This window comes from Homo sapiens, chromosome 13 (assembly GCF_000001405.40).
Source record: "Homo sapiens chromosome 13, GRCh38.p14 Primary Assembly".
Taxonomy (NCBI): domain Eukaryota; kingdom Metazoa; phylum Chordata; class Mammalia; order Primates; family Hominidae; genus Homo; species Homo sapiens.
The window spans coordinates 80,026,694-80,053,561 of NC_000013.11; the positions used below are offsets into that span (position 1 = coordinate 80,026,694).

A 26,868-nucleotide genomic window follows, 5' to 3' on the forward strand; every position below is an offset into this window, starting at 1 on the left:
CTTTTATAGGCAGTCAAACCTATAAATAACCGGCAAATATGTTATTTAACCCTCTATCTCTAAGCCAAGATATAACTAAATAATGTAAAATAAATAGATGTCCACCCAAGGAATACGATTTAGTATCACGTTTTAAATATAGTAATAGTAAGTACATAAAGAAAATCTCTTCACTGAGCTTGGTACCACTTATTTCCATGACTGGACTCAAGATATGTGGAAATGATACTTTTACTGCCAAAGACTTTATAGGTTATAGGAATGGTTTCAGTGGTGTTAAATACATTACACCAGTAATGACATGCTTTATGGAAAATAGAAATTCTAGGTGGGTAGGGGGTAGTTCTTGGACACATTGAAACATGGTTTAAAATAACTCAGTCTTTGACCAGGCTTTTCTTCTGTTCATTGGGAATTATTTCATTGCCCACTCTCTATTATGTTTGTCTATCAACACAGGCTTTGCTTTGATTTCGGATCCAAGGTTCACCATCTGCAGCAAGTTGTGTAATCTCTACAAGCCTCAGTTTCCTTGTAGGTAGAATGGAACTACCTCATAAGTTCTCACATAAATGAGGTAAGGCTTTCACAGAGTGCCTGCCACAGTGCAAGAGTTTAATAATAGGAAAGTCGTCATCGCTATTGCTATCTGGATGAGACAGGCCTATTAAGGAACCAAGAAAAGGACTAACAAATATAGTTTTTTGTTTGTTTTTGTTTTGCCTACTGTTGCTACCTTTGAAGAACAAATATAGATTTTGACACTATTAACAGAAGGCAATTTGGAAGATCAAATGTAAGTCTTTTAGTCATCCATTCCTACCAAAAGCTTGTTTCATACAAAATTTTAGTTTGTATGAAGTGTTCTTCTGGTACAACTTTTTAGTCACCATGGGAATTTTATTTCAACAAAGTATTAAACCATGAGGCATTTATTTTGAATATAGTTAGCAAAAAGAGTGATTGGGAGCTGAAGAGAGATAAGGAAAGTGGAATGAAAGGCAGAGAGAAGAAAAGATTTGAGCAATGCAGCTTCAGGCAAGATGGGGAAGGAAGAAGAGTTGAAGCAAGTATGAAAGGGACTAAGAGAGCAAAACGAAGTAGTTTGTAGGATACCATGGGAAATAATGAACTACATAGCCTTTGCACTGGCATTGAGTCACAGAAATACCTATTCACATAGCTGCAGATGACTGAAAGCTTTTTGTCATTGTTGTTCATCTCAAACATCAAAACTATTCTGTAGATCTGGAATTATGGTCAGACACAGGTGAATGTCAACAACTCTGGGTCAAAAAAATCAGAAAGCCATTTAAATCAACTAAGGACCAGGAAGGTAGGATAGAGAACCAGCATAGCTGAGATTGTACTGCAAGTGGTTATTGTGCTAAGTGCATGAATACGCCTCTCTCGTTTAAGTCATACAAAAATCCTGCACCACTATTTTACATAAGAAATGTGAAATAAATTTTTTATCTAAGATGAAATAATAATATTGATATATTAGGGATTCTATTAACGAGAATGTTAAATTAAGATGAGTATGTTATATTAAAATCCATGTTCCATTAATTACATCATGCTGCCAATAATTTTACTTCTGGTACTGTGTGTCCTTCCTGATAAATTTTGGCCTCTCTTTCCCTTGGCATTGTCTTTATAGAAGAATGATATAAGTATTTAACTTTAATAACTTGTCAGAACTACAAAGACAATTGTGAAGCCTCTGCTCAATATTATCTCCTCCTCTGTGTCGTAATATTTCTCCTGAGTGTCTATTTAAGGTCCTTCTAACATTCTTTTCCTCTGTAAAGGACATTTTATGATGATACCACTCTTGTAAAATAATGGTGACTTCCAACTAGGTAGAAAATTTCTGTAAAGGCCAAGGCTAATGCTAGATAAAGTTCTATGCAGATCAGGAATCACTTTAATCTCTTTCACTTTGACATGTCAAAGATGGGAATGAGTTTCCAGAAGAAACAGTAAAGCAATTTCTATATAATCTGAGCGAAGAAAACATGGCACATTTCCAGCAATTCCAGGCTGTGTAGGAAGACAAAATACTATCGATGGAGAAGAGATTAACCTGTAGATTTGAAATGGTTTTATGTATCTTTGAGCTCTGTTGAAATTTGTTATTTCTGAACTCCAAGAAATATCTTTATAACAGGATAATGTTTTTACTCATTTAATTTATATAATATGTCCCAGTGCCTCAAGAAGTAAACAGGGGCATTATCAAAGAGTTAGCCCTAAGCAGTGACACTTTGGGGAAGGATACCCGATCCTGATGTAAGTTTGTTGGAAGGAAACCAGAGTAGATGTCACTGTTAGCCCCAAGCCAACCTGTATTTATGGCAGGTGAGTATAGTAACAAGGACTGCCTGATAAATAATTATCCTTACTGAGGAAAGAAGAGAATTTCCAGGTTTTCTTCTTAACATCTAGTCTCCAATGAGAGAAAAGGATTCACAAAATGATTTAGAGAAAGCAAATAAACAAATTGGTACCTAAAAGAGGGAGACAAGACCCACCCCACCCACAGGAGCAGCTTGCCCCCAAAGCGGACAGTGAAGTAGATGTGCTGTGGAAACAAAGCCTTCCTCTTGCTTTGGGTTGGTGCACAAACATTGGATTGTTGCCGGGCTGGCAGCAGGTGTTCCTCTGTCAACACATGTCCTTTTCCTTTGATAATGGTGTCCAGAATCCTTGATGAACAGTTGGGTAAATTCCCTAGGTTTCTGGGTGAGGACTCAAATCAATAGAACTGTGACACCCTTGAAAGATAATACTGGCTTTAGTTAACAAAGGTGTCTGTGACAGGCTGTTACATAATCTTGCATTTCTTTTTTTATTATTTTTTAAGACCAGCCAGACCAAATACTCAAAAGCTATGCTTGTCACACTAGATAATGACTTTTTTCACAACTAAGTTTTCCTTAATACTATAACAATTTGATATTTGAAATGTGTTTGAACCAGATATTTTATACTCAGTCCTGGTTTTAAACCCACTAGATGGTCTTCAGTTAAGATACTAGGCCCTGGTACACAAAAAACAGAGTAGAATTATAAAATCCTTTTGGCGATGGAAGAGGAGGGATCACAAAATCAAACACCAATATCACGTTGAAGGTTTAATACCTGTTCTAATTAAATGTAACAAAATGAAAAAGAAAATTGCTTTTGGTTGAGTTATTTAAGACAGACATATATTTAAAATTTATTTGGACAATTCAGATAAGAACTTCTACTTGCAGCATGCACTAATCTCAGACCATAGTCTCTGAAATGCAAGCCATACACTTAATAAATCAAATTTGTTTCAGCCTCCCTTACCTGGGACCAGGAGAAAGCCAATTTTGTCAACTCCCCTTTTCCAGGGTTGTATCCGTGATCAAGGAGCATTACAGAGGTACCTAGGTACTCAGGTAGGATCCCATTTAATCCTCAGTCACTGGCTTACACAGGTAGCCTCTGAGATATCTCTTGTTCCCATCCACAAGTCCCTTTCAGAAATGGCATTCTCTAAACTTGTTCCTAACCAGGCCTGGCTAACCCATACCTTCCTGTTGCTTCCGTGCTGAGGCACAGCAATTATCATCTCCTTGTGGTCCTATCTGACTGCACAAAACACAAAACTATCCTCTTTCTTTCTGAAACCCCAACCTGGGAGACAAGGAAGGAGATGGAGGGAGGACACTTCACCTCAGAACTCCAAGGCTATCTCTGTTCAATTTGCTTCCTACTATTTATCCTGTCTCCCTTCCCACCCAAATGAATTGTTTTCTAGACTGTGGCAGGGGAGTGGTCAACTGTCTAATGATTTTCCTTTCATTTGTTTTGTCTTTGCACAGAGTCCTCACTGTGGCTCATGCACTGGGTTTTTCAGCTTCATCACTATTGACATTTTGGGCTGGATATGCTGTTGTTGTGGGCTGTCCTGTGTACTGTACGATGTTAAGCAGCATTCCTGGCCTCTGCCCACTAGGTGCCAGTCACAACCCCATAGACCATAAAAAATTGTTTCCAGATCTTGCCAAATGCCCCTGGGGGCAAAGTTGCCTTTGGGGAAGAACTGCTGCCTTAAAGGTATACGCTTTTGGAAACCAATGCTGGTCAGATTCTCTGGAGACCAGAAACTACTAGTAAACAGGAGAGCTGGCAGAAGGGATGGCCAAACGAGAAGTCAGAGTTTCTATTTTAAATTTTTGTTTACCTCCTGCTTGTCATGCTGGAAAAGGGGATAGAAATGTTAGGATAGCTACACACAAACACTTCTATACTACACATAGATAGTTGAATGTTAGCAGAGTTCTGGCATTGTATTTTTTATGAAGTAATTGTTTTCTTCTTATTAGGCACAGGTTTCACCTTTCTAAGGGAAATATTATACCACTGATACAAACAAAATAGATACAGAAACATGGACATTAAATTTGTGCGTGATAAAATTGCTTTTTTCTAAAATATGTTATTTTTTTCTAATATAAATTAGAGTGTCATATAGAACATCACTATGGCGTCTTATTTTACACACACACACACACACACACACACAAACACACCAAATATTTATAGGTCTGTTTAGCATCAATTATCCCACACTTCTTGAGAAAGAACAGCAAAAGGACTAAACTGTCAAGAAATTCAATTTCTAGGCATCTTGAGTTTCTGAACTTTAGGGAAAGGGAGTCATTTACTTTATATTTCTCTGTGGCTGATCTATGATTAGTCATACAGAGATGTCAAAAGATGTTGACAGAATAAGAATAATAAGCATACATTTATGGCCTTCGTCAACAGCCTAGGAGATCAACTGTCCCGTTAACCAATACCTAGCACTTCCTCCAATGGATAAATCTTGAAAAAAGGGGTTTCCAGATGCAGTTTATATCCAGGTAGTTCATTGACCTTTTTGACACTTCCTTTGTCAATCACTTTTTCCAAGATGAAGGAAATTTGAAAGTCTACAAAGATCACCAAACTTGCTTTCTTTGAGTCAAACTTGCTTTACTTAACTATGAACTGGCAGATGTGTCCATTCCAGTGGTCTGTAAATACTTGGGAAATGGTGAAGCAGTTATTTAGCATGTTTGCCACTAAACATGTTGCCCCCTTCCCATTTGCAGGTTGATCACTTGAGGAAAGAACCCAAACTTTTTGATGTTGACCATACATCTTCCATTTGAGGGCAATTGCCTTTAAACGGGCCACATCTTTGATGTTGCACTTACCCTGGGAAAGATTTAGGTTAAATGGTGTTATTTATCCTAATATTATGATTGTTTTACTTTGGAATTATCTTTCTCAAACACAATACTGAACTGTCTGGGCTCCAAAAGGTGAAAATTGGAAAGCATAAGTTATTCTATACCTATAACACTTGGTTCTCCCAGACCAGCTAAGATGTTTTATGTTTCTAGGTTTTATTTTATTTTATTAATTCTCAGAAATGCGTGTTCATATTTTTCATAAATAAATGTAAATATCTCAATTGAAAATGAACAGAATTGAAAGTCAAATGCATATAAGAGAAAATATATTTCATCAGCCAACATGAAAAAAATTTATTAGTAAACAACAAAATGCACATTAAAACAAGATCTAAATTTTTACTTATCCAATTGGCAGAGATTAAAAATTAATTTAGGATATTCAATACTGGAGATAGTGTTTTGTTAGCAGGAAAGAAAAACGTTATAGCTTCTTTGGAAAATAATTTCACAGTGTGTAGAAGGGGTCTTAAATTTCCAAGTCTGAGACAGGTAATTTTAAATCCAAGAATCTATTCAAAGAAAATCATGTTAAATACAGGGAAACTTTTGTGTACAAATGTGCTCATTTTAGTGCTATTTAGAATATGGAGAAAAGGCGGAAACAAAGCACTTGGCCATAAAAAGAAATTCAAGTAAACTGTGGTACATTCAGTCTATGCATGTAGACATTAAATATACTAATGGTTATTTCTAATAATGGAAAAACATAATATTTAGTAAAAGAAGCACTGTAAAAAATTATAGTAAAATTTATGTATCAAAATTATATAGAAGATGCTTAAAAGACTAAAAATGCAATAAAATATTAATATTTGTTGTCTTTCTAGTGAGACTGAGTAAATGTTTTTAAGTCAAATTTTCCAAATTTTCAGAAAATTCTATATTCAATCATTACTCTTTTATATTTGAAATAAAATAAATTTTATTTTTAAAAAACATATGTACATTTTTTTTTCTTTTTTGAGACAAGGTCTCACTCTGTCACCCAGGATGGAGTGCAGCAGCTTGATCTCAGCTCACTGCAGCCTCCACCTCCTGGGTTCAAGTGATTCTCCTGCCTCAGCCTCCTGAGTAGCTGGTATTACAGGCATGCGCCACCATGCCCAGCTAATTTTTGTATTTTTAGTAGAGATGAGGTTTCACCATGTTGGCCAGGCTGGTCTCAAACTACTGACCTCAAGTGATCCGCCCGCATTGGCCTCCCAACATGCTGGGATTACAGGTGTGAGCCACTGTGCCTGGCCTATGTACATTTTTAAATGGCTACTCTGCAATACTAATCTTCACATGTAGAGTTCTTGGACTAACTACTATGTTTTTATTTCAAATATAAAACTTCAGAATCACAACACTTAAAACATTACTATAACTTTATATCCTAGTCACAATATGATATGGTTTGGCCATGTCCCAACCAAAAATCTCATCTTGAATTATAATCCCCATAATCCCCACGTGTTAATGGAGAGACCAGGTGGAGGTAATTGAATCATGGCAGTGGTTTTTCCCACACTGTTCTCATGATAGTGAGTCAGTTCTCAGGAGATCTGATGGTTTTATAAGTGTTTGGCAAATTCCTCCTTGGCTCATTCTCTCTCCTGCAGCCCTGTGAAGAGGTGCCTTCCACCATGATTGTAAATTTCCTGAGGCTTCCCCAGCTGTGTGGAACTGTGAATCAATTAGACCTCTTTTTTAAAATAAATTACCTAGTCTCAGGTATTTCTTCATAGCAGTGTGAGAATGGACTTACACATACGATTTTTTTGCAGCTAGTCCAGCTTCAGCTGTCTTTGGTAAAATTAATCATTCTTCTTAAAATAATGATAGACTTGTGTCTCATAACTTATGTTTATAAATTATAAACTTATGCCTCATGTCTAATTCTAATATACTACTAGTCAACTTTATGTTCAGGACTTCATACATCCAAAGTTCTCTGTTAGAGGTGCATGACATTCTCTAAAACTATTAACAGACTAATTTTTGGCCATAGCTTGTTCTTTTTCCCCTTATTTCCTTCCTAATATAATACTTACATTCTATCTAGAATTCCAAGAGACTTTCATTCCTCTGTTTGGTAAATGAAAAATAAAAGTTACACTTGCAGAACTTCCTCCTCTGCCCTTCTAATGTTGTAAGTGTCTTGGGTGATCAGCATGAGAGGTACGAAACCTAGTGTTATTCTAGCTGTCTTCAGTCACCAGTAATCCCATGTTCCTGGACTATGAAGCAAGTTAGAGGTCTTGTCAGAGGACTGTGCGTGTGTGTGTGTGTATCAGCAAAAATGAAAAGTAGAAAATATTAAAAAATACAAAAAAATTAACTTCAAAAATCTTAACTAAGTTGTTCTCAATGTGTGGTCCTCAAACAAACTGCATTTCTGACTTCTTAGACATGCACAATCTCAGGCCCTCCATAGACCTACTGAGTTGAAACCTGTGTTTTAGCAAACTCTCTGGGTAATTTTGATAAACATTACAATTTGAGAACCACGGCTTGAGAAGAAGCCCTCCAAAAACTTCAAAGTAGTATGCAAACTAATTGCGTACAAGTACATTTCGAACAAGGTTGAGGCTAGCCAGGGTGCTTTTTGGAGATGACTATTCTTATGGCTCGATGTCTAGCTTATTTTTCTCTTTTACCTCCTAAGTGTTAACATCTCTGCTTCCAGTCCTCTTGTGAATCTGTTTTGCCCTTTTCTTCTCTTCTAAAGGAAGCCTTTTATGGTTAGATTCAGTTGGCCGTGATGTTGGGATATGCCAAAGCAACAGAAATCCACACATTTCCTTTTCCAGATGACGAGCTTAGGATGGTCTTGTGGACTCTGTTCTACTCTTTTCTACACTTTTTATTTCGAAAACAATTCAGCCTGTTATAAGCCAGACTTATGTGTTTCCTTGAGCAACATCTATAGCAGGTGTGTGGCTTCCACATGTACTCATACAAATAAAAAATAATACATGAAAACTTTCATCTCCACTCCCACAATTCAGATTCACAAAAGTATTCCCCAGGTAGATTGTAAATTTCCATATAGATTTACTAGCTGGCAGTTTGCAGCTGTATCAAGTGTTGTTTGATCAGCATCTGGGAATGTCCAGAGAAAGAACCTATAATTGTTATTCTGGATCTGTAAAACAGCATGCCTTCCAGCCACTCCATGTTTTCATTTCCATATTTATGCCCCAGAATTTATTATCTATTTTCCAAATTCTAAACTTACTCAAATACTTTCATGCCTGGGCATTATTCCCAGTGAATTATTTATCATATAGTGAATTATTTCCTCATATAGTTTTTGTAGAATATTTTCTTATCTTTACACCATTTGTCTTATTCTGGCAGCCAAAATGGTTCTACCAGTAGATAAAGAAGGTAATATGATTCAGAGAATGGTAAATGGCTTCCTTGCAAAATGTCTCCCTTACTAGCATGATATAAGGCCTGTGTTTTAATTGATTAGTCAAATTTCCTAGCTCTGATCCCTCTCCCCCAGCTCTGATCCACGTTTTCAACTCCTTGCTTGGTGTCATTCAACCTTCTGAAACATGTTTTTACTCTGGAGCAATGATTCTTAAACTATTCTCTCCATCACTGTCACTTGCTGAACCTAAAACACAGATTTCTGGGCCCACCCTCAAACATTCTGATTCAGTGGGTCCTTAGTAGGGCCAGAGGATTAACATTTCTCACACCCTCACAGGTAATGTTGATGCTGCAAGCTGACATGACACTTTGAGTATCATTCATTTGCTTGACTGTTTTTGTGGTTTACCTTTAATTTTTACATGTGAAGCAGACACCACTGATGTCTCAGCCATCCAAAAGCCATTTCCCCTTTCTCCTTAATAATAAATCCTAATTTTCTATAGGGAGTCACCAAGGCCTTTTGCTTCAAGAAAGCCTGCCTTAAATTTCAGTTCCAGGATGAGAGTTGTAATAACTCTAAGATAATTGAGTTAATAAATTGAAAATAATAGGCATTTCATTCCCCTGTGAATTGCCTAGCATGAAACATGAATAAGATTGTCTGAGGAGCTTCTGAGACAGGATTCTTCTCTCTCAAGAATACACCTGGAAGAGCTAAACCCTTTTCAGAACCCTGGATTGATGGGATGTGATTGCAAGACAACTGCAACCAGCTTGTGACCATCAAGATTTATATGAAAACATTACATTGTACCCCACAAACATACATGCAATTTAAAAAAGGAGAGAGATTGCCATATGCTGAGGATAGTCAGGTAGAAATAAAGAAAATAATTAGGTTCTTAAAATGATGATGAGCCAACAAATTCACTAACCTGGAGCTGCTTTGCCTCAAGACTTATTATGTGGGATTTCTGTTTCCTGCAGCTAAAAGCGTACTAATTTATATTATCTATCTTTCTATCCATCCATCCATCTATTTATCTACTTATCTATATTTCACCTGTCTATATATCTATGTATTCATCCATCTATCTTTAACTTATCTCTACAATTAGATTTTATTTTCTTAGTAAATATTAATGAAGAGAAAAGATAGTTATAATACTATTAGAATATAGCTATGTTAGTTGGGGAGGCTAGCTTACCACCTATCAACATCAAATCAAGAAATAATCACATTTTATCTTATGCAGAGTTTTAGAAAGAATAGAATATAAGAACATTAAGTGTGGTGGGATATGCATAAAAGGACAAAAAGTCAGGATCTATTCAAGTGCACCAAAATGGTGGCCCTGGATTCCTGTTACACGGCAGGAAGGAACTGGGTAGACTCCATTTTTAAAATGTACTTTTGGGTGTCCTTTTATGCACTCTCACGCTTCAGTAATTCATTTTCCACCCTGCATTCAGTGTAATTATAAAAAAGATCTGATCAAGCCATTCTCATTAGAACTCTGTAAAGTCTCTCATTCTTCCTATAATAACCATTTGGAGCCCTTCACTTGGCATACAAGGCCCCAAGTGAGCTGGTTCCCAGTGGTCCCTCAGCACCATGTAGTACCACACTCACTGCCCCTAGCCCCGAAGTCCTGCTTTCAATTCTAGGTTCCTGCCACATGCAATTGCCTCACAAACCTTTACGTATAACACTTCCTCTTTTTAAAAAGGCATCTCCCACATCTTTGCCACTTCCCAATTTACCCTTCCTCTCTCACAATTCAACTTAAATGTCATCCCCATACTGAACCTTTTCTTGAGACTAGACTGTCTTCTTCTGTTCTTATACTCTTATACATAATTCTCTTCTGTGATACTTATCACATTTAATTGTATAATTAAATGTGCAATTAATTATTTAGTCTCTGTTTCCTAAATTACCACATGAGCCCTTAAGGGCAAGAACACATCTGTTTACTACCATATCCCTGGCACCAGACACTAAACATTGGTTGAAACAATCTCTTTTTTCTTCAGGCATATTCTCTGATGACATGTATGCTTCTTTTGTGAAACATTCAATAAATAAGAGTCAACTTGACTTTACACATGACCTTTCCTGCCACTATAGTCAAATGGGCAAAAATAGGCATTAATTTTCTTGCTTCACAAATGAGAAACTGAGGCCCAAAGAGTTTAACTAACCTGCTCATTTTTGTTCCATCTATGTTGACATTTGAAGTCAGAGAGCCTGACTCCTACTCACTGGCTTTTCCTTAGACTAGTCACTCACAGAACATCATTACTCAGCCTGCTCACAACACAACACTCATGCTTAAACAGAGTGCAGCTTTCTTCCGGCCGCTGCACCAGAATTTTATGCAGCTTACCCTGCCCTGAGTCATTCATGGAAAGCATCTGGGAACACATTATGTAAAATACACCATCTCACCTAAAAATGTTCTTCCATCACTAGGGCACAAAGGGTCAGTGGGGTGTTCTGGGAGAGTTATCTGAAAGGAAAGCATACATTTGGGGAGAACATTGCTCCCCGATTATGACCCCATGACTTGCCTGTAGAAAAGCTGGCGGGTGCTCAAGTGTAAAGACCTGGGAAAGCTTGACACTGAGTAAAAGACTTTCCGTTCCTTCTGTAAGGAGATACATTAATGCAGTCGTGGAAATGAATATCCATTCTGTGGTTTTGAACCTCTGAAAGTAGCACTTGGGCAACTAAAAAGTGTCACACCATGCCCTAGAGCTATAGAGAAAACTTGCAGAGTAATTGGTATTATTTGCCCAAGAGATAAGTGGCTTCTGAGAAGTTCCTATATGGTTGTGGACATGCCTCCGCCTCTTGTTTTTCCTTCTAACACTATTCTGACTATAGCTTAGGAGTGAGATTCTTCAACACGGTCACTATTGATGGCCTATAGTCTGCATGCTTTTGTTTTCAAATAAGCAAGCAGTTTATCCCTGCCTCAGGAAGTATAAAGACTGAGAAATGTCAACGGGCCAAGTTAAAGAAATATAAAGTCCAGTTTAGGGGCTATTAAAGGGCTTGGAAAATCTGTATTAAAATTTTGACATCAAAGTTATATGCTTCTCTCAATCAATAAACAATTGTTGAGTATCTGCTCTGTGTTTATTTGTGATGGGAGCAGTCAGGAAATTCAAAAGAGCACTCAGGGAGGTAGAAAGGCAGAGTAGATAGAACAAAGGCCTTAGAGTCAGAAGAATGGATGTGGTTTCAGATTTTCCACTTATTGGGTCAACTTCCTTTGGGCCTGTATCTTATTTGTATAGCTCTAATAGCCTTACCAACTTCACAAGGCTGTTGTCAGAACTGGGGAAGAAAAGTATATCAAAACAAACCCCCCACCACCAAAACTCATTTAGCATTTTGCTAGCTCTTTCAACAAATATTTTTGAAGGCCTATACTAGACTTAAAAAAACTTACCAGACAAAATCCAAATGCTCATGATAGACTCCTGTTTATTCTTCAAGGTTCAAATCAACTACAGCCTCTTCTGTTATGTCATTCCCTAAAATAAATCCCTTCCTTAATTAATCTTGAATGTCCTTACTTCATTGTGTTACTTTATATATTTGGTTAAATGTCCACGTTCAACCCTAAACTATGAGTTCCTCAAAGACAGAGACTGTGCCTTATTCACCTTTGTGCTGACATGATGCCCAGAGTAGCACCTGGTCCAGAAAGTATGCTTTCTTTGGAATCTTAGACTGGATGTATGAAAAGATGAATGGGTATGGGACAGCCTGGGCTCTGAGAGGGAAATCAGCATGAATGCAGGAAGAAGACCTTGACTGAAACAGAGGGTGGGTTTTGATTTGCAAGAGGAAGTGAAAGGAAGACAGTAAGTCCCATGACGAGAACCTGGTGAACTATGTTGAGGAATTTGGACTTAAATTTATAAGGTGTCAGAGTCTGTTAGGAATCCTTTAGCAAAAATATGATATGATCAAACTACTATCCAGACAAAAAAGAAAAGCTCTTATAATTGGAGAATTCTGCCCATAATCAATGTCTTGCTACACACTGAATAGAAAAATTTCCTGGAGCCAAAGATGGTCTTGCAATCCCGGGAAGTGCCCTTCTGCTCATGTCCAACAGGAAGTCATCAGGATAGATACACAACAGTGTATCTATCAGACACAAGGTGGTTAATGAAAATCTATTATAAACACAAAGTGTTGTTGAACAATGCTTGTATTAGAAGGGTTCAAAATGGGCTTATTTAAAAATGTAAAGCTGAATTTTTTCAATAACTTTTTTTGTGTGTTTTTACTTGCAGCAAGAAAATTCTCTTGGGCAAAAAACAATACATGCAATTTTAGTATGATTCACCTTTAATGTCATTTATTCTTCACAGATAAATATACAGAGAAGAAAAACATGACCTAAAAATGTTAATCCAAATGATAAAGGGTATTTTTTGTTACCAAAATTCTATTTAGTATTTACTATTGCAATACTAAAACACTCTCCGAAACTCAAAGATCAATGAAATCTGAAATTAACCAGCATTTCAAGGAGTAATTTAAATAACAAAATAATCTAACCTATCAAATATTTTGTCATAGACCCAACCTTTACAAAGTTGAGTAGAAATTTTCACTTTCCTTGCTTTGAAGAATCTGAGTCCTTCAAAATTGTATCAGATGTTTTTAGTTTTACTGTGTAAGCTTTCCTGGAAAGCTTCAAGTCAAGCATTTTTAAGGGAGTCTTTTAAAATGTAAGAGGGATACTAGAAATAAAATCACCAATAAATTCTTTATGGTATGAGCAAGTCTCTATGTTACGTGTGTTATGGGATCAACATTTCTTGTGTCAGATTTTCATAAAGTAGGATGTCAATGTTCACCTGACTGGGCTTTTTTCCTTAATATTATAAATAAGGTTGCAAGATGCTGTTCTCAAGTACCATATGTCTTCATTTCTATTGTTAAGAACCATTTCTAAAGATCTAACACAAGAGCAGATGAGCCACACTGGCTAGATTTGGGGGTAATTGGATTTTCTTTTCTCTTCACAAAAATTATGCATGCCTGGAAAGAACAGCAAGAATAAACTGCAACCGATGCCTACTAATTACCATCAGCTAGTGCCTGGCTTTTGAAATCTGATTTAAGAAAAAAAAATGAAAAAAAAAAAAACACAGGCTTGGCTGATAGAAAACTGTATAATGTTTAAGCAGTGATGAGGGAAGCCCAATCTTAAGCAGGCTAGACTTTGGACCGAACCCAACTGATGTTTCTCATCCTTGTTTATTTTGTTACTTGACATGATTCAACTCATTAAGGATTTCAAAGGTCCAAGGGAAAGTACTTCTACTTTGCCAAGGCATCCTTCGTTGGAATTCCATTATCTCCCATGATCCGAGACAAGGATTTCCTCCTACTCAGTTCTGAGTAATTATGTGTAAGCAAACCCTTGGTGTTCTTGCAGATGACTGTACTGAGTTGATGGTTCAACATGAATCATTCATGTGGCAGGCATCTTCAATGGAGAGGGTAAGGAGGGCTAACATTGATTTGCAGTGTTTATATGAAGTATGACTTTCTCATTCATTTCATTTGATTCATCAGAGTTGATGTTTGTCCCTATAAACCATTCCCTCTCCTAAAACGATTACAGGGAAAGAAGAGAGAACAAGCACATTCGATCAGTCCCTCCTCCTCTACCAAGTTTAATTTAGACTATGTCTTAAGAAATATTGTTTCCTCCTTGCAGAAATTGAGAATGAGTCGCTCCATCACCACCCTGGCCTGCCCCCCTTAACCCAGCATTTTTCCTCTCTTCACTTCTTTCCCAATCAGTGAAACAAAGTAAATATAAATTAGGCAACGATTTTTTTTTATATGCTGCATTTTATACTTCATATTTTTAAAGCTTCCCTCTTTTGGGGGTGGGGGTGGGAGAGGCAATAAATTCCTCTGAGACTATGATAAAGATGCATCCTCCCAGAATAATTCAACTAAGCACATATTTACAACTGGCATACACCTTTAGGGAGGTTAAAGTCTAAGGTGGATCTCCCCTCACACCTCCTCCCTCCCTCCCATGCCCAAGGACATTAGGTTAAACTTCTGATCTGAAAGTCTCAGATTTGAGGGCAATAGGAACTGAAGCTATTCTTTTCCTTACTTTTTTGATAACATACGTGACAAGGCATGCTACAAGTTTTAAGAGACAACAGCTCAAAAGAGAGCCTGGTACTCCCATCAGGACTCTGAGCCATAATGATTCTTGCATGTCTTTAAAAGTTTTGTTAAGAGCTTCAAAGAAAAAACAACAACACATTTGAGAGACTACCTTGGCAAGTCACTCGGTCTTTCTCATTCTTTTTTAACAGCTTTATTGGGGATATAACTCATATACCATACCATTTACCTAAAGTGTACAATAGCACAATTCATTGCTATTCACAGAGTTAGGCAACCATCACCACAATCAATTTTAGAAAATTTTCATCACCCCAAAAAGAAACCCAGTCCCAGTAGTAATCCATTCCTTATCCCTACCCTCCTCCAGCTCTAGGCAACCACTAATCTACTTCTTGTCTGTATGGATTTGCCTCCTCCAAATGACAGCACACCTGGAATCTGCCCATTGTGTTAACTCTTCTGTAAGACTGTTACCCCAAATGCAGTTACCATAAAACTACTCGCTTGAGTAAAACAACTGGGTGTGAGTGAAGCATTTTATTAGGCATGCAGAAGTTTCAAAGGTGAGCTTTCTACCTAGTTATGAGAATTATTCTAAAAAGAAGCAGTAACTACCACAAAAGCCATACACAATGATATGACATTTCAAAGTACCCCACCCAGTCTTGCTCTTTATAGCTGGTTGACTTCAATCCCAACTCTAAAAGCCAATGCTCGCTAGGAATTATCCCAAGCATCATTTCTCATTTATGGTCAACATTCCATTCACTGGAATCCCAAATAATTTCTGACTTCCCCCTGATCTCTGGAGCTTTTTTCTATGTTTATAGTCTCACAATAATTGTTTCAGATCTTGTGGCAGAGATGGATAGTTGCCTCTCCAAATATATGTTCTCCTTATGTACCTTAGTAAGAGAATCCCAATGTTTAACTAAGCACATTAGTGCATATAGCTTCCCTTGCAACTACATGTAGCTCTATGACTAAGTTCTGCCCAATTATATGAGAGCAGAAATGTTGTATACAGCTTCAGAGACGTGGTCCTAAGGGGTAGAGGCATGCCTTTTCTTCATCTTCTTCCTCCTTCCTTCTGGCTTAATTCAGACACAGTGCCAAACAGCCATCTTCGATCATCTATTGAAAGTCACACATTGATGCAGCGAAACAGCCATCTTCAGCCATCTAATGGAAGTCACACGTTGAGTTTGGCTGAGCAAAAACATAGATCAAGTGTAGGTTTCTAGAATTACCTTAGGTGTCTAGACTATCTGCCACTAGACTTTTTACAAGAAAGAGAAGTCAACTTTTGAGGTACTGTTATTTGGTGGCTGTTAGTCACAGAGGAACCTAATTCTAGCTGGGACTCCTTTACCATTTCTCAGACCCTGACCCTTTTGTGCCTTCCACTACTGGCACATTCTCCACCTCCCTTGTAGAATTTTCTCTATAGAGTAACTTCGTACTATCCAGCTACCGGCATGCTAAAACCCTGGAAAGGCCTCTGAGGCATGTATCCTCAACATTTTTATCTCATATTCTTAAAAAAAGAAATCCTTGGACACTAAGAAAGGAAAATTAGATTCACTAATGAGAGCCAATAATGTCTTCAGGGAAAAAAAAAAATACTTTCAAGATAGTGGATGAAAACTAAATAATAAAGCTGGAGGCAGAGATCTTTCCAAACATAGGGAGCAAAGTGCTTGGAGACTACAAGCCCTCAAATGTGTTTGGGAAAAAACAGTCATCTAATTTCTCTATGTAATTTCCCTATTCGGTAAATAGAAATTTGGCTGGAAACATTGATTGAGCCCCTATTCTTGAGAGCCTTTATGGGGCTTGTACCTCTCTGCCTGGGTTATTATCAAACTACCTGAAGACTTTCCAGTCATCTCAATCTTCTCCTCCAAATAGCAACTGTGACCTTCCTAAAATGCCAATCTGACCATGTCTCCCCCTACTGAACTTCCCTCAGTGACTTCCCCTTGTTCTTCAGGTAAAGTCACAATTATCAAATGGCCTCCAAGGTCTGTAGCACCTGGCCTCTGCCCACGTTTCAGCTGAGCTCCCCCTCACCACCTCTTGGCCATGTCATTTTCTTTTTGTTCCTTCATTGTGTCAAATTTCTTCTCACCTGGGTGTCTTTCCTTATGCCGCTCCTCTTACTTACTCTTCTCTCACTGTTATAATTTCCTGAGTTTCAATCAACCATCATTCAAGTCTAGGCTTAAAACATGACTTCCTAGTCCTACTAGACCAGATGGGGCCAGGTTCAGCCCGGTATATGCTCTCAGAAAAACCTTATACTTATCCGTTATCTCTTGTATCACAATCGTAAGTTATTTTTGTAATTATTTCTTAAATGTCTATTTTCCCTACTGAGCCATGACACCAGTAATTATGTCTGTCTTTCTCTTGATTGTATTTCTAGAACCTAAAATAGTTCCTGGACCAGATTAAATTCTGATAAATATCTGTGAATAAATGAAGGGCAGAAATATGATCAGAACTGTTCTCTCTCTAGATCTATCTATCTATCCTGCCATAATCCTTGGTGATATGGTTTGGCTCTGTTTCCCCACCCAAATCTCATCTTGAATTGTAATCCCCATGTGTTAGGGTAGGGGCCTGATGGGAGGTGATTGAATCATGGGGGCAGATTTCCTTCTTGATCATGATAGTGAGTGAGTTCTCACAAGATGTAGGTGTTTGAAAGTATGTGGCACTTCCCCCTTCACTCTCTCTCCCCTGGTCCACCATGGTAAGACATGCCTACTTCTCCTTTGCCTTCTGCCATGATTGTAAGTTTCCTGAGGCCTCCCAATCATGCCTCCCATTAAGCCTACAGAACTGTGAGTCAATTAAACCTCTCTTCTTCAAAAATTACCTAGTCTTAGGTAGTTTTTTATAGCAGTGTAAAAACAGACTAATTCACATGGGGACTAGAGACAGCTCATTCCCTAAATTAAAAAAGAAGTACCTAAATAAGCTACACTAAAATTATCTGAGACTGTATATTTATGCTTCTATTTCCATCATGGGATAGCAAGTTTCTCAACGGCAAGAACATGTGTATTTAACTGTCTGGTACATAGTCATCATTTACCGCAATATACAAAGCAACTTACGTCTCTAGAAAGTATGTTGGCCCTTTATCCTCATCTATTTGACCTCTCAGCATTCTGCCCCTGGTCCTCTCCACCAGTGACAGCACTAAGGCCCATGGACTTGAAGACCACCTAAAAGCTGATGATTTACCAGACTGGAACTCTGGTTTCAATGCTTAGCATCTGTGGTAGCATCTCAAATGTAAGAGAATTAGTAGTTCTGTCTTTTCCTCTATCCCTTAAAAGCTGTTTGTTCCATGTATCCTTCATTTCAGAAAATGGCATCACCATCCTCTAAGTTCTTGCTATGGCCTGAATATTTGTGCCTCCCCCCAAATTTATATATTGAAGCCATTATTCCCAGTAGATGCTGTTTGTATGCAGAACTTTTGGAGGTAATTAGGTCATGGGGTAGAGCCCTCATGAGATTAGTGTCCTTATAAGAAGGGACATAAGAGATGATTTCTCTATCCATCATGTGAGGACACAGCAAGAAGGCAGTCATGTGTAAACCAGAAAGGGGGTCCTCTCCAGGAAATGAATTGGCTGGCACCTTGATCGTGGACTTCTCAGCCTCCAGACTGTGAGGAATAATTTCTGTTGTTTAAGCCCTGCAGTCTATTTTATTTGTTTTGGCAGCTGATGAAGCTAATGCTCAAGATAAAATCCTGGTTACTTACCTTGCTATTATGCCTCATGTCTAAACCATAAGCAGGCTCTTCAGTCCTACTTAAGCAGCATACCCAGAATCCACTGAACTCATTTTATCTTTACTGTCATTGTCCTCATCACAGACCCATCATCCTCCATTCCTCCAGTGGCAGCCACACTGATTTCTTTGCCCTCTCTAGTGACCCTTCCTTCTGCCTATTTCCACATAGAAAACAGGACAATCTTCTAAAATTGCAAATTAGATCATATCATAGGTTAGAACACTTTAATTGTTCTCAGTGGACTTTGGGAAAAAAACCAAAAAAAAAAAAAAAAAAAAAACACCCAAACATTGGAACTCTTTTTCAGAGTGTATGACATGGCCTATGACATTCTAGAAGATCTGACCTCCCCACTAGTCTCTAGTCTCATCTGGGATGCTTTCCCATCACCTGTTTTGTTCCAGCCACATTGGTCATTGTTCTTTCCTTCAAATACACTATTATCTTATTTACTTATTTTCTAGTTTTGTTGTTGTTGCTTTTTTTCTTTTTCTGAAACAGGATCTTGCTCTGTCACCCAGGCTGGAGTGCAGTGGTGCAATTGTAGCTCAGTGCTTGAACTTGAACTTTGAGCTCAAGCAATCCTCCCACCTCAGCCTCCTGAGTAGCTGGGGCTACTGGCACTCTCCGCTATGCCTGGTTTATCTTTTTTAGTTTGAGTATAGACGAGGTCTTGCTGCATAGCCCAGGCAGGTGTCTTCTAGTTTTTGTTTGTTTGTTTGTTTGTCTTTTGAGATGGAATCTTGCTCTGTCATCCAGGCTGGAGTGCAGTGGTGTGATCTCAGCTCACTGCAACCTCCACCTCCCGGGTTCAGGCGATTCTTCTGCCTCAGTCTCTTGAGTAGCTGGGATTACAGGCGCACGCCACCATGCCCAGCTAATTTTTGTATTTTTAGTGGAGATGGGGTTTTACCATATTGTCTAGGCTAGTCTCAAACTCCTGAACTCATGATCCGCCCACCTCGGCCTCCCAAAGTGCTGGGATTACAAGTGTGAGCCACCGTAGTTTTTTACTACACCCCCTCTAGTTTTTTACTACACCCCCCTCACTAGACCATTAGCTTCTTGAGGCAATGGATCTGCTTTTCTTTTCACTATCCTTTCTCCAGCACTTAGACCAGGACATACACTGTAACAGGCCCTTAGCAGATATTTGTTGAATGAATTAATTACTACAAAATGAGAGCTTGTGGAAGTAGGCTGAATTGAATGAGAGAAGTAATGACAGTAGGAGAAATAATAGCACACCCTTGGAAAAGAAATTGGTGAGGAAAGAAATCACACAACGAAAAGTAAAACTTTAAGAGATTCTGGATGTTAGGTTTTAATAAGTTTGGATCATGCACCCCTTTACAAATGTTATGACATTGTATGACCCACATTTTCAAGGTGTTCCTTGGATACTCTGAATCTCAATCAAGATCCTCTCAGCAAGGGTCATGGATGCCAGTATAATAATTTCTAGAAGGTGATCACTGACAGCTTTACCTTCTGGGGGAACACTTCATTCTGAAGATTAGCCCCCATTTTACATTGCCACTTTTTTGACATGTCAACCATTATCTCAAATTCCCCCCTTTAGATAGACAAAAACGAGAGTACCCACCTGGTGCTGAATTAACCTTGAGAAATTTTAGGTTAGGTAAGGCTGTGTAGGATAAAATATAAAACAAAAAAATTACCTTAAGAATCTGTTTCCCACAGTGGAGTTCCTCCAGATACAGCCAACTTTGCTAGGTTTCACTTAATTATAATTAAAATATCATTATTAAAATTTCTCAGGAATTACACTGTGCTCATCGCTTCCAGAAAGAAGTAAATTATTGTCAAACTGTGTGGATACAGATCCTTGGGTCGAATATAGTTTTTCCACTGGATTAGTCTAAAAGGTAAAAGAAAATGCATGTCTTTAGAGCATTTCCTCTTGTGCACATTCAAATATACAGTGTGTTGAAGGCCTGGGAGGCCATCCAACCTCCTACCTGTTGGATTACACTAGGATAGTGTCACATTTTACTAACACTCCCTAGAAAACCTTATTTTAGAAACATTTTCCGCCTCATTTTATCTGAGTTTGCTCAAGGAACTGAAATCGTCGTGTGCTGAGCTCAATGCCATGTGCAAGGTCTCCGACTAGCACACAGAAAACTCTAAGGAACTGTAATTCAGTGATTCTTGCCATCTGCAAGCCTGTGGAATTCAGGTGCCCACAGGAAGGAATGGAGAGGTTTTTCCAGCCTGACCATATCAGCCGTCTCACCACAAGAACCTTCTGTTTTGGCTGTCGTCCCTCTATCAGACTCAGGCTGTTCTTTATGGCCAACTGTGAGTTTAACGTGTCTGGTTTACATTCTGTTGGTAAAGTGTTTCTCTCAGTTCCAAGCTCCTTTCCTTCCATCCGATGGCTTGACTGCTTTGTATTCATGTTTGTTTTTTAAGAGGAGGTAGGATGGGTGGACGTTAGGGACCATAAAACAACTCTAGAAGTTTGCATTCACAAAATAGTGAAATTAATACTAATAAGGAGAAAGACAGGCACTGATAGTGCAGCAGAGAAAATCCAACAAGTAGGATCAGAGGTGTAAGGATGTGGTAGGTGATTAAATAACTCTGTCAGTGTGGAGTGGGCAGTAACTAACCATTTTATTTTTAATTTTTTTGGTGAATTAAGCAGAAGTTTTAATGACTATCCCTTTCTCATATTTGTGAGGTGTGGGCTGCTGTAAGCTATAGAACCATGGCAAAGGGCTTAATGGGGAGGAAAACAGTTTTAAAATTTCTCTTAGAACCCAGCCCACTGGAATTATGAAAGCAGCCTCAGTAAGTAAGATAGACTTGCATGCGTCCAGTTACAGAGGTGTAGGGAAAGGAATGACTCTAGTTACTGGAAACTAGTATTTGCATTGGACAACATTATTATTTGAATTGGATGGTGGAGGCAAAAGTACATCTTAACTTTATCAAACATGTTTCAGATGCAATTCTTAATTCCTCCACTTAAGGCCATTATGCTTGTGGATACAGGATGATAGTTAATACTTTTAAAACACATTTTAAAAAATTACCTTTAAGCTCCTCAAGTATTCTAAGGATATTCTTAAGCTCCTTAAGAATTCCAACAATAATTTGTTTGCAGGCCAAAGACTGACACCTGCTATATCCTATTGTTGATTATTTTACAAAAGTAATTTAGTTATAGAGGCTTCTATAAAAGCATGCCTCACTAATTTTGTGTGCCTAAAAGAATCAGAGAAACATGCTTAAGAAAATATTTTCCCTCCCCAGGGAGTAAAACAGGCTGGGCTGTGCCCATCTAACAAGGTAGCTTGCATTTTAAGGTTACATTCACTGGGATGAAAAAATATTTTAGTTCAGGTAATTTCTGAAGATTACTCAGTTAAAGGTAAATGAAATATCTTCCTCAGAATAAGAGGAGCTCAGCATTTAAGGGACCTGCTTTTCTAAGTTCTCCTTCCCTTCCATTTTTATCAGCTGGATTGAGAGTGGGTGGTTCTCACTGATCACCACCAAGGATAGCTCAGAGCGCTGAGCCTTTGCAGCTTAGTAACTTGCAGGAAGCGCTTCCCTGTTCACTCACAGGCACATCACGCTTCAATCTCCCCAGGGAGGGTGCACTCGAGGTTTGAGCGTGGGGGTGGAAATGGAGGCGTTTCCGTTCTATTTTGGTTTCTCCTACTGACTGGCTGCTCAGCTGTTCATGAGTCATCCTAACCTCAAAATCTGTCATTAAAACAGAAATAATGATACCTATTTTCTGTGCCTTACATGAATTGCATGAAGACATTATTCATATTTCTGAAATACATGTGAGAATTAGTCAAGGTTAGCTGTAAGAAAAAGTACAATGGAATTGTTTTTAATCCATGATAGCTATGCTTTTATCATTTAGATTTTGAGAATTCTCTGTACTGAAAAATGAAGAATGAGAAGAGATCCTAATAAGGATTAAATTTGACAAAACACTTATTTGATGAACTGGATTAAGATACATACAGTTTTTTTAAATATATGGCATAAGAATGTATTTATTCACATGTTCACTTAATAACATTTTATTGAACATCCCGGCATTGACTTAGACACTAGAATTACCACTATGACACAGAACCTCTCCTAAAGGAGACCACTAGAAACAAGACTACATGATTCTAGGTGACTGCATATGCAAATCTGGTGATATTTGAGAGATGTGCATTTTAATATCATCTATACCAGTGATTCTTAAAACAGAGATTAGGAACTTCGGAGAGAAAGAATTCAGCTTCATAGGAAGAAAAAAATCTACATTTATCGTGAATATGTTTTTCTACAGCTTATTTTATATTACTTAGTTGTTCTTTTTCTAAGCTTGTAAGTTTAATGTTTATATTTTACTCATTCATATTTAGAAATAAAAACATTAAAGACGTGAGTTTGTCTCTGGATACCATTTTGTCCATATTCTATATATTGCTTTTCCTATTTAGTGCTGTCAGTATTATGTAATAAATGCTCTATAATTGAAACTTTTATTAGGTGATCCTATTAACATTTCTAAATGATAACATGACTATGGTTTAGTTTTTGCTGTCAGCATCCAGCAAGCTTACATTAAGCAGATTTGTTTGCAATAGCAGTTTCTTTTGTCTTTCTCGTAAAGTGCAAGTTCCTCATGTGAATTGTTATATACTTGATCTCTGGCTAGGAAGAGTGTTTTACAGCAGCCCCATTTAATTCTTCCTGGTCCATCCATGCACAGGCTTCTACCACATTAAGCATCTTTACTACACACTCCTGTAACCAGACTTCTGCCAAACTGAGCAGTCTTTATAGCAGGCCCCTACAAACAATAAAAGCAAGTTTCTTTATTTGGGTTTGGAGAACAAAAATAGAAATGGAAGAAACTACCTGTTCCTTATTCTCTCATTCTAGGTCCAAGAGAAGATACCCTCACAAATTGGCATTCTCTCCTTGGGATAGATGGGAGAACTCTGTGTGTGATATTATTGAGCTGTCTTGGACTTGAGCTCAGTTATGTGGTTTCCTCTATTTCCTGTCCTGGGAAGAGATGAAAGAGTAGCCCTGAGCCTCTGTGCAGCAGCATCCAGACACCATGGCTAGAATCCCAAATTCTTAGCCTCAGTCTATGAGCTGGGCTTAGATCTTTGATTATGTTGCCCTTCCCTCCCAAACAGGGCTGCCTCCTCAGTGGTTCCTCTCTCCCAATCTTGTCACATGACATATGTGGTTCCTTTCTTAGTGCTTTATTTCTTCTACCAAACATCCGCTCAGAGAGAAGTAGGATTCTAATTATTATTGTCACAATGGTTTTAGCTCATTTAGTAGAAATAAAATTTATAAAATATTTATAAATAAATTTATTCTTTTAGCTAGCTCATGCTGACCAATATATAAGGTATTTTTTGATTCATGATAAATTTTGAGCCAAAACACACTTGCCATCTGAACCCTAAACACGTAAGTAGGATGTTTCCCTTTCTTTTGCTAAGGGACAAATTTCACGATAATATTTTGTGCAAAGTGCACATACACAGGTGAGCATTTTCCTTCCATTCTCACCTCTCAAAGTAAGATAATGAAAAAACCTTAGAAATTTGTACAAGAACTTAATGAAATTAGATTTTTTAAAAATTAGATAATTCTCAATTCTCTGCTTCTAATTCGCCAGATTTTGCATGCTCCTTTGGGCATTCTCTTTTTCTCCTCAGAGTTTCTTGGTTCCCATCACACAAAATGATCCTTGCTAAAGGTATCAGGATCAAACCCTAACCTCTCGTTCTTCAACTGTCCATTTAAATTCCATCAATAGGCTCATGCAAATTACAGATGTTGTGAACAATTCTTTTATTGGGAGAAATTGAAAGAACACTATTTTAACAGTTTAATCAGCATCAAATTAACCTTGCTTAGTCCTGTTCTCAACTAGCAGCTAGTCTTCTGACCAGTCCCATGACCAAGGGCCCACATGTGTCACCAATCGCTAAATATCTGACATAGCCATCTTTGAGTATTTACCTGGAAAACCTACTCATCCTTTTCATTCTATACCTTTATCTTCATTCTCTCATCCATTCTCTGATGCTTTGGCATTCTACCCACTACCTCTTCATTAGTTAAGTGGTTGCTTCTTTCTATCTAGCCAGACTTCCTGATGCCAATTCATGTCCTGACCAAATTTTTGCCTCTCACCTCCTGCTTCCCTTTCCTCCATCATCATGTTCACACTGACTTTCTCCTGAGACATCATCTGTAACTTCTTTAAGGACCTTCCTTATGTTGATGACCTATCTAAGGGGCCCTCTATCACCCACATCATGCTATTTTTAGCACTAGGAAAGGTGGAAACTGCTCAGAATATTTATCACGTGTCTTTAACAGGATCCTAATTTTCATGTACTACTTCTGAAGATACATTATAAGAGAATTCCAAACTGCAGAACAAAGGGTAAGTCTACAAAGGTGCTCAGTGTCTTCATTTATAACAGAAAAATAATTAGAATATGCTAGCCACAAAAGAGTATTTAATAATAATAAACCACCCGATATACCTTAATGCAACTATTAAAATTATGTTTCTAAAGAGAAAGCACTGTAATTATATGGAAATATCACTACAGCATTATGGTAACTTTTTAAAAAATATAAGATTTACTTTATAGAGCATAACTAAGTCCTGTTTGCTTGTCTGTTTAACTTAGTCATAGAAGCCAAGACTGGAAAGAATAGAAGCAAGATAAATGTGAGCAACTGACTATCACATTGAAAGCCTACTTTCAATTTTTCTTCATTTTCTAAATTTCTCTAATGATTACTGTGGTAGACAACCTCTAACATGGTCCCTTGTTGTACTCACCTTGTGCAATTCACACCTGGATATTATCTCCTCTTGTTGAGGGTGAGCTGTACTTGTTTCTAATCAATAGATTGTGGTCAAGATGATGGGATGTCACTTTCATAAATAGATTACAAAAGATTGTGACTTATGTCTTGCTAGCAGACTTTCTTTATCACCTTCTTGGTTTTCATGCTTTGATAAACAAGTTGCCATCTGGGAGAGGCCCACCTGGCAAGGAATTGAGGACAGCCTCTGGTCAACAGCCAGAAAGGAACAGAGGGCCTCAGCCCAACAACCTGCAAAGAAAATGAATGCTGCCAAAACCACCTATTGAGCTTGGAAATGGCATCAATCAAGCCTTCCTCAGCCAAGCCTTCTGATGAGACTGCAGACTTTGATTGAAGCCTTGTTAGAGAACATAAAGCAGAAGATCCAGTTAAGCTGTACTCAGATTCCTGACCCTTGGAAACTGTGAGACAATAAAAGTGTGCTGTTTTCAACTGCTAAATATTGGAGTTATTTGTTACAGAGCAATAACCAACTAGCATATGAAAGTATTATTTTTATAACACAGTAGTAAACTTCTTTTAAAAAGGATATTCAAATAAAATGAATTTGAAATAGTAAAGGACTTTCTGAACATTGTATTAGTCCATTTTCACACTGCTATGAAGAAATACCCATGACTGGGCAATTTATAAAGGAAAAAGGTTTAATTGACCCACAGTTCCACATGGCTGGGGAGGCTTCAAGAAACTTACAATCATAGCAGAAGACAAAGGGAAAGTAAGGCACTTTCTTTGGGAGGCCGAGGTAGGTGGATCATGAAGTCAGGAGTTCAAGACCAGCCTGGCCAACATAATGAAACCCCGTCTCTACTAAAAATACAAAAAAAGTAGCCCAGTGGTGGCAGGCACCTGCAATCCCAGCTACTTGGGAGGCTGAGGCAAGGAGAATCACTTGAATCTGGGAGGTGGAGGTTGCAGTGAGCTGAGATGGTGCCACTGCACTCCAGCCTGGGCAACAGTGCGAGACACCATCTCAAAAAACAAACAAACAAACAAACAAGGCACCTTCTTCACAAAGCAGCAGGAAGGAGAAGTGCAGAGTGAATGGTGAAAAAGCTCCTTAGAAAACCATCAGCTCTTGGCCGGGCATGATGGTTCATGCCTGTAATCCCAGCACTTCGGGAGGCCAAGGCGGGCAGATCACCTGAGGTAGGAGTTTGAGACCTGCCTGGCCAACATGGTGAAACCCCATCTCTACTAAAAATACGAAAATTAGCCAGGCATGGTGGCATGCACCTGCAATCCCAGCTACTCCAGAGGCTGAGACAGGAGAATCACTTGAACCT

The 26,868-nt window shown here is 38.1% G+C and overlaps 1 annotated feature.

Annotated features, from left to right (window-relative positions):
* Positions 22,246–22,495: an enhancer, noted in NCBI's record as "active region_7859". NCBI's record gives its function as "activates an Ori minimal core promoter by ATAC-STARR-seq in GM12878 lymphoblastoid cells {active_cell/tissue: GM12878}" and the evidence as "EXISTENCE:reporter gene assay evidence [ECO:0000049][PMID:35858748]".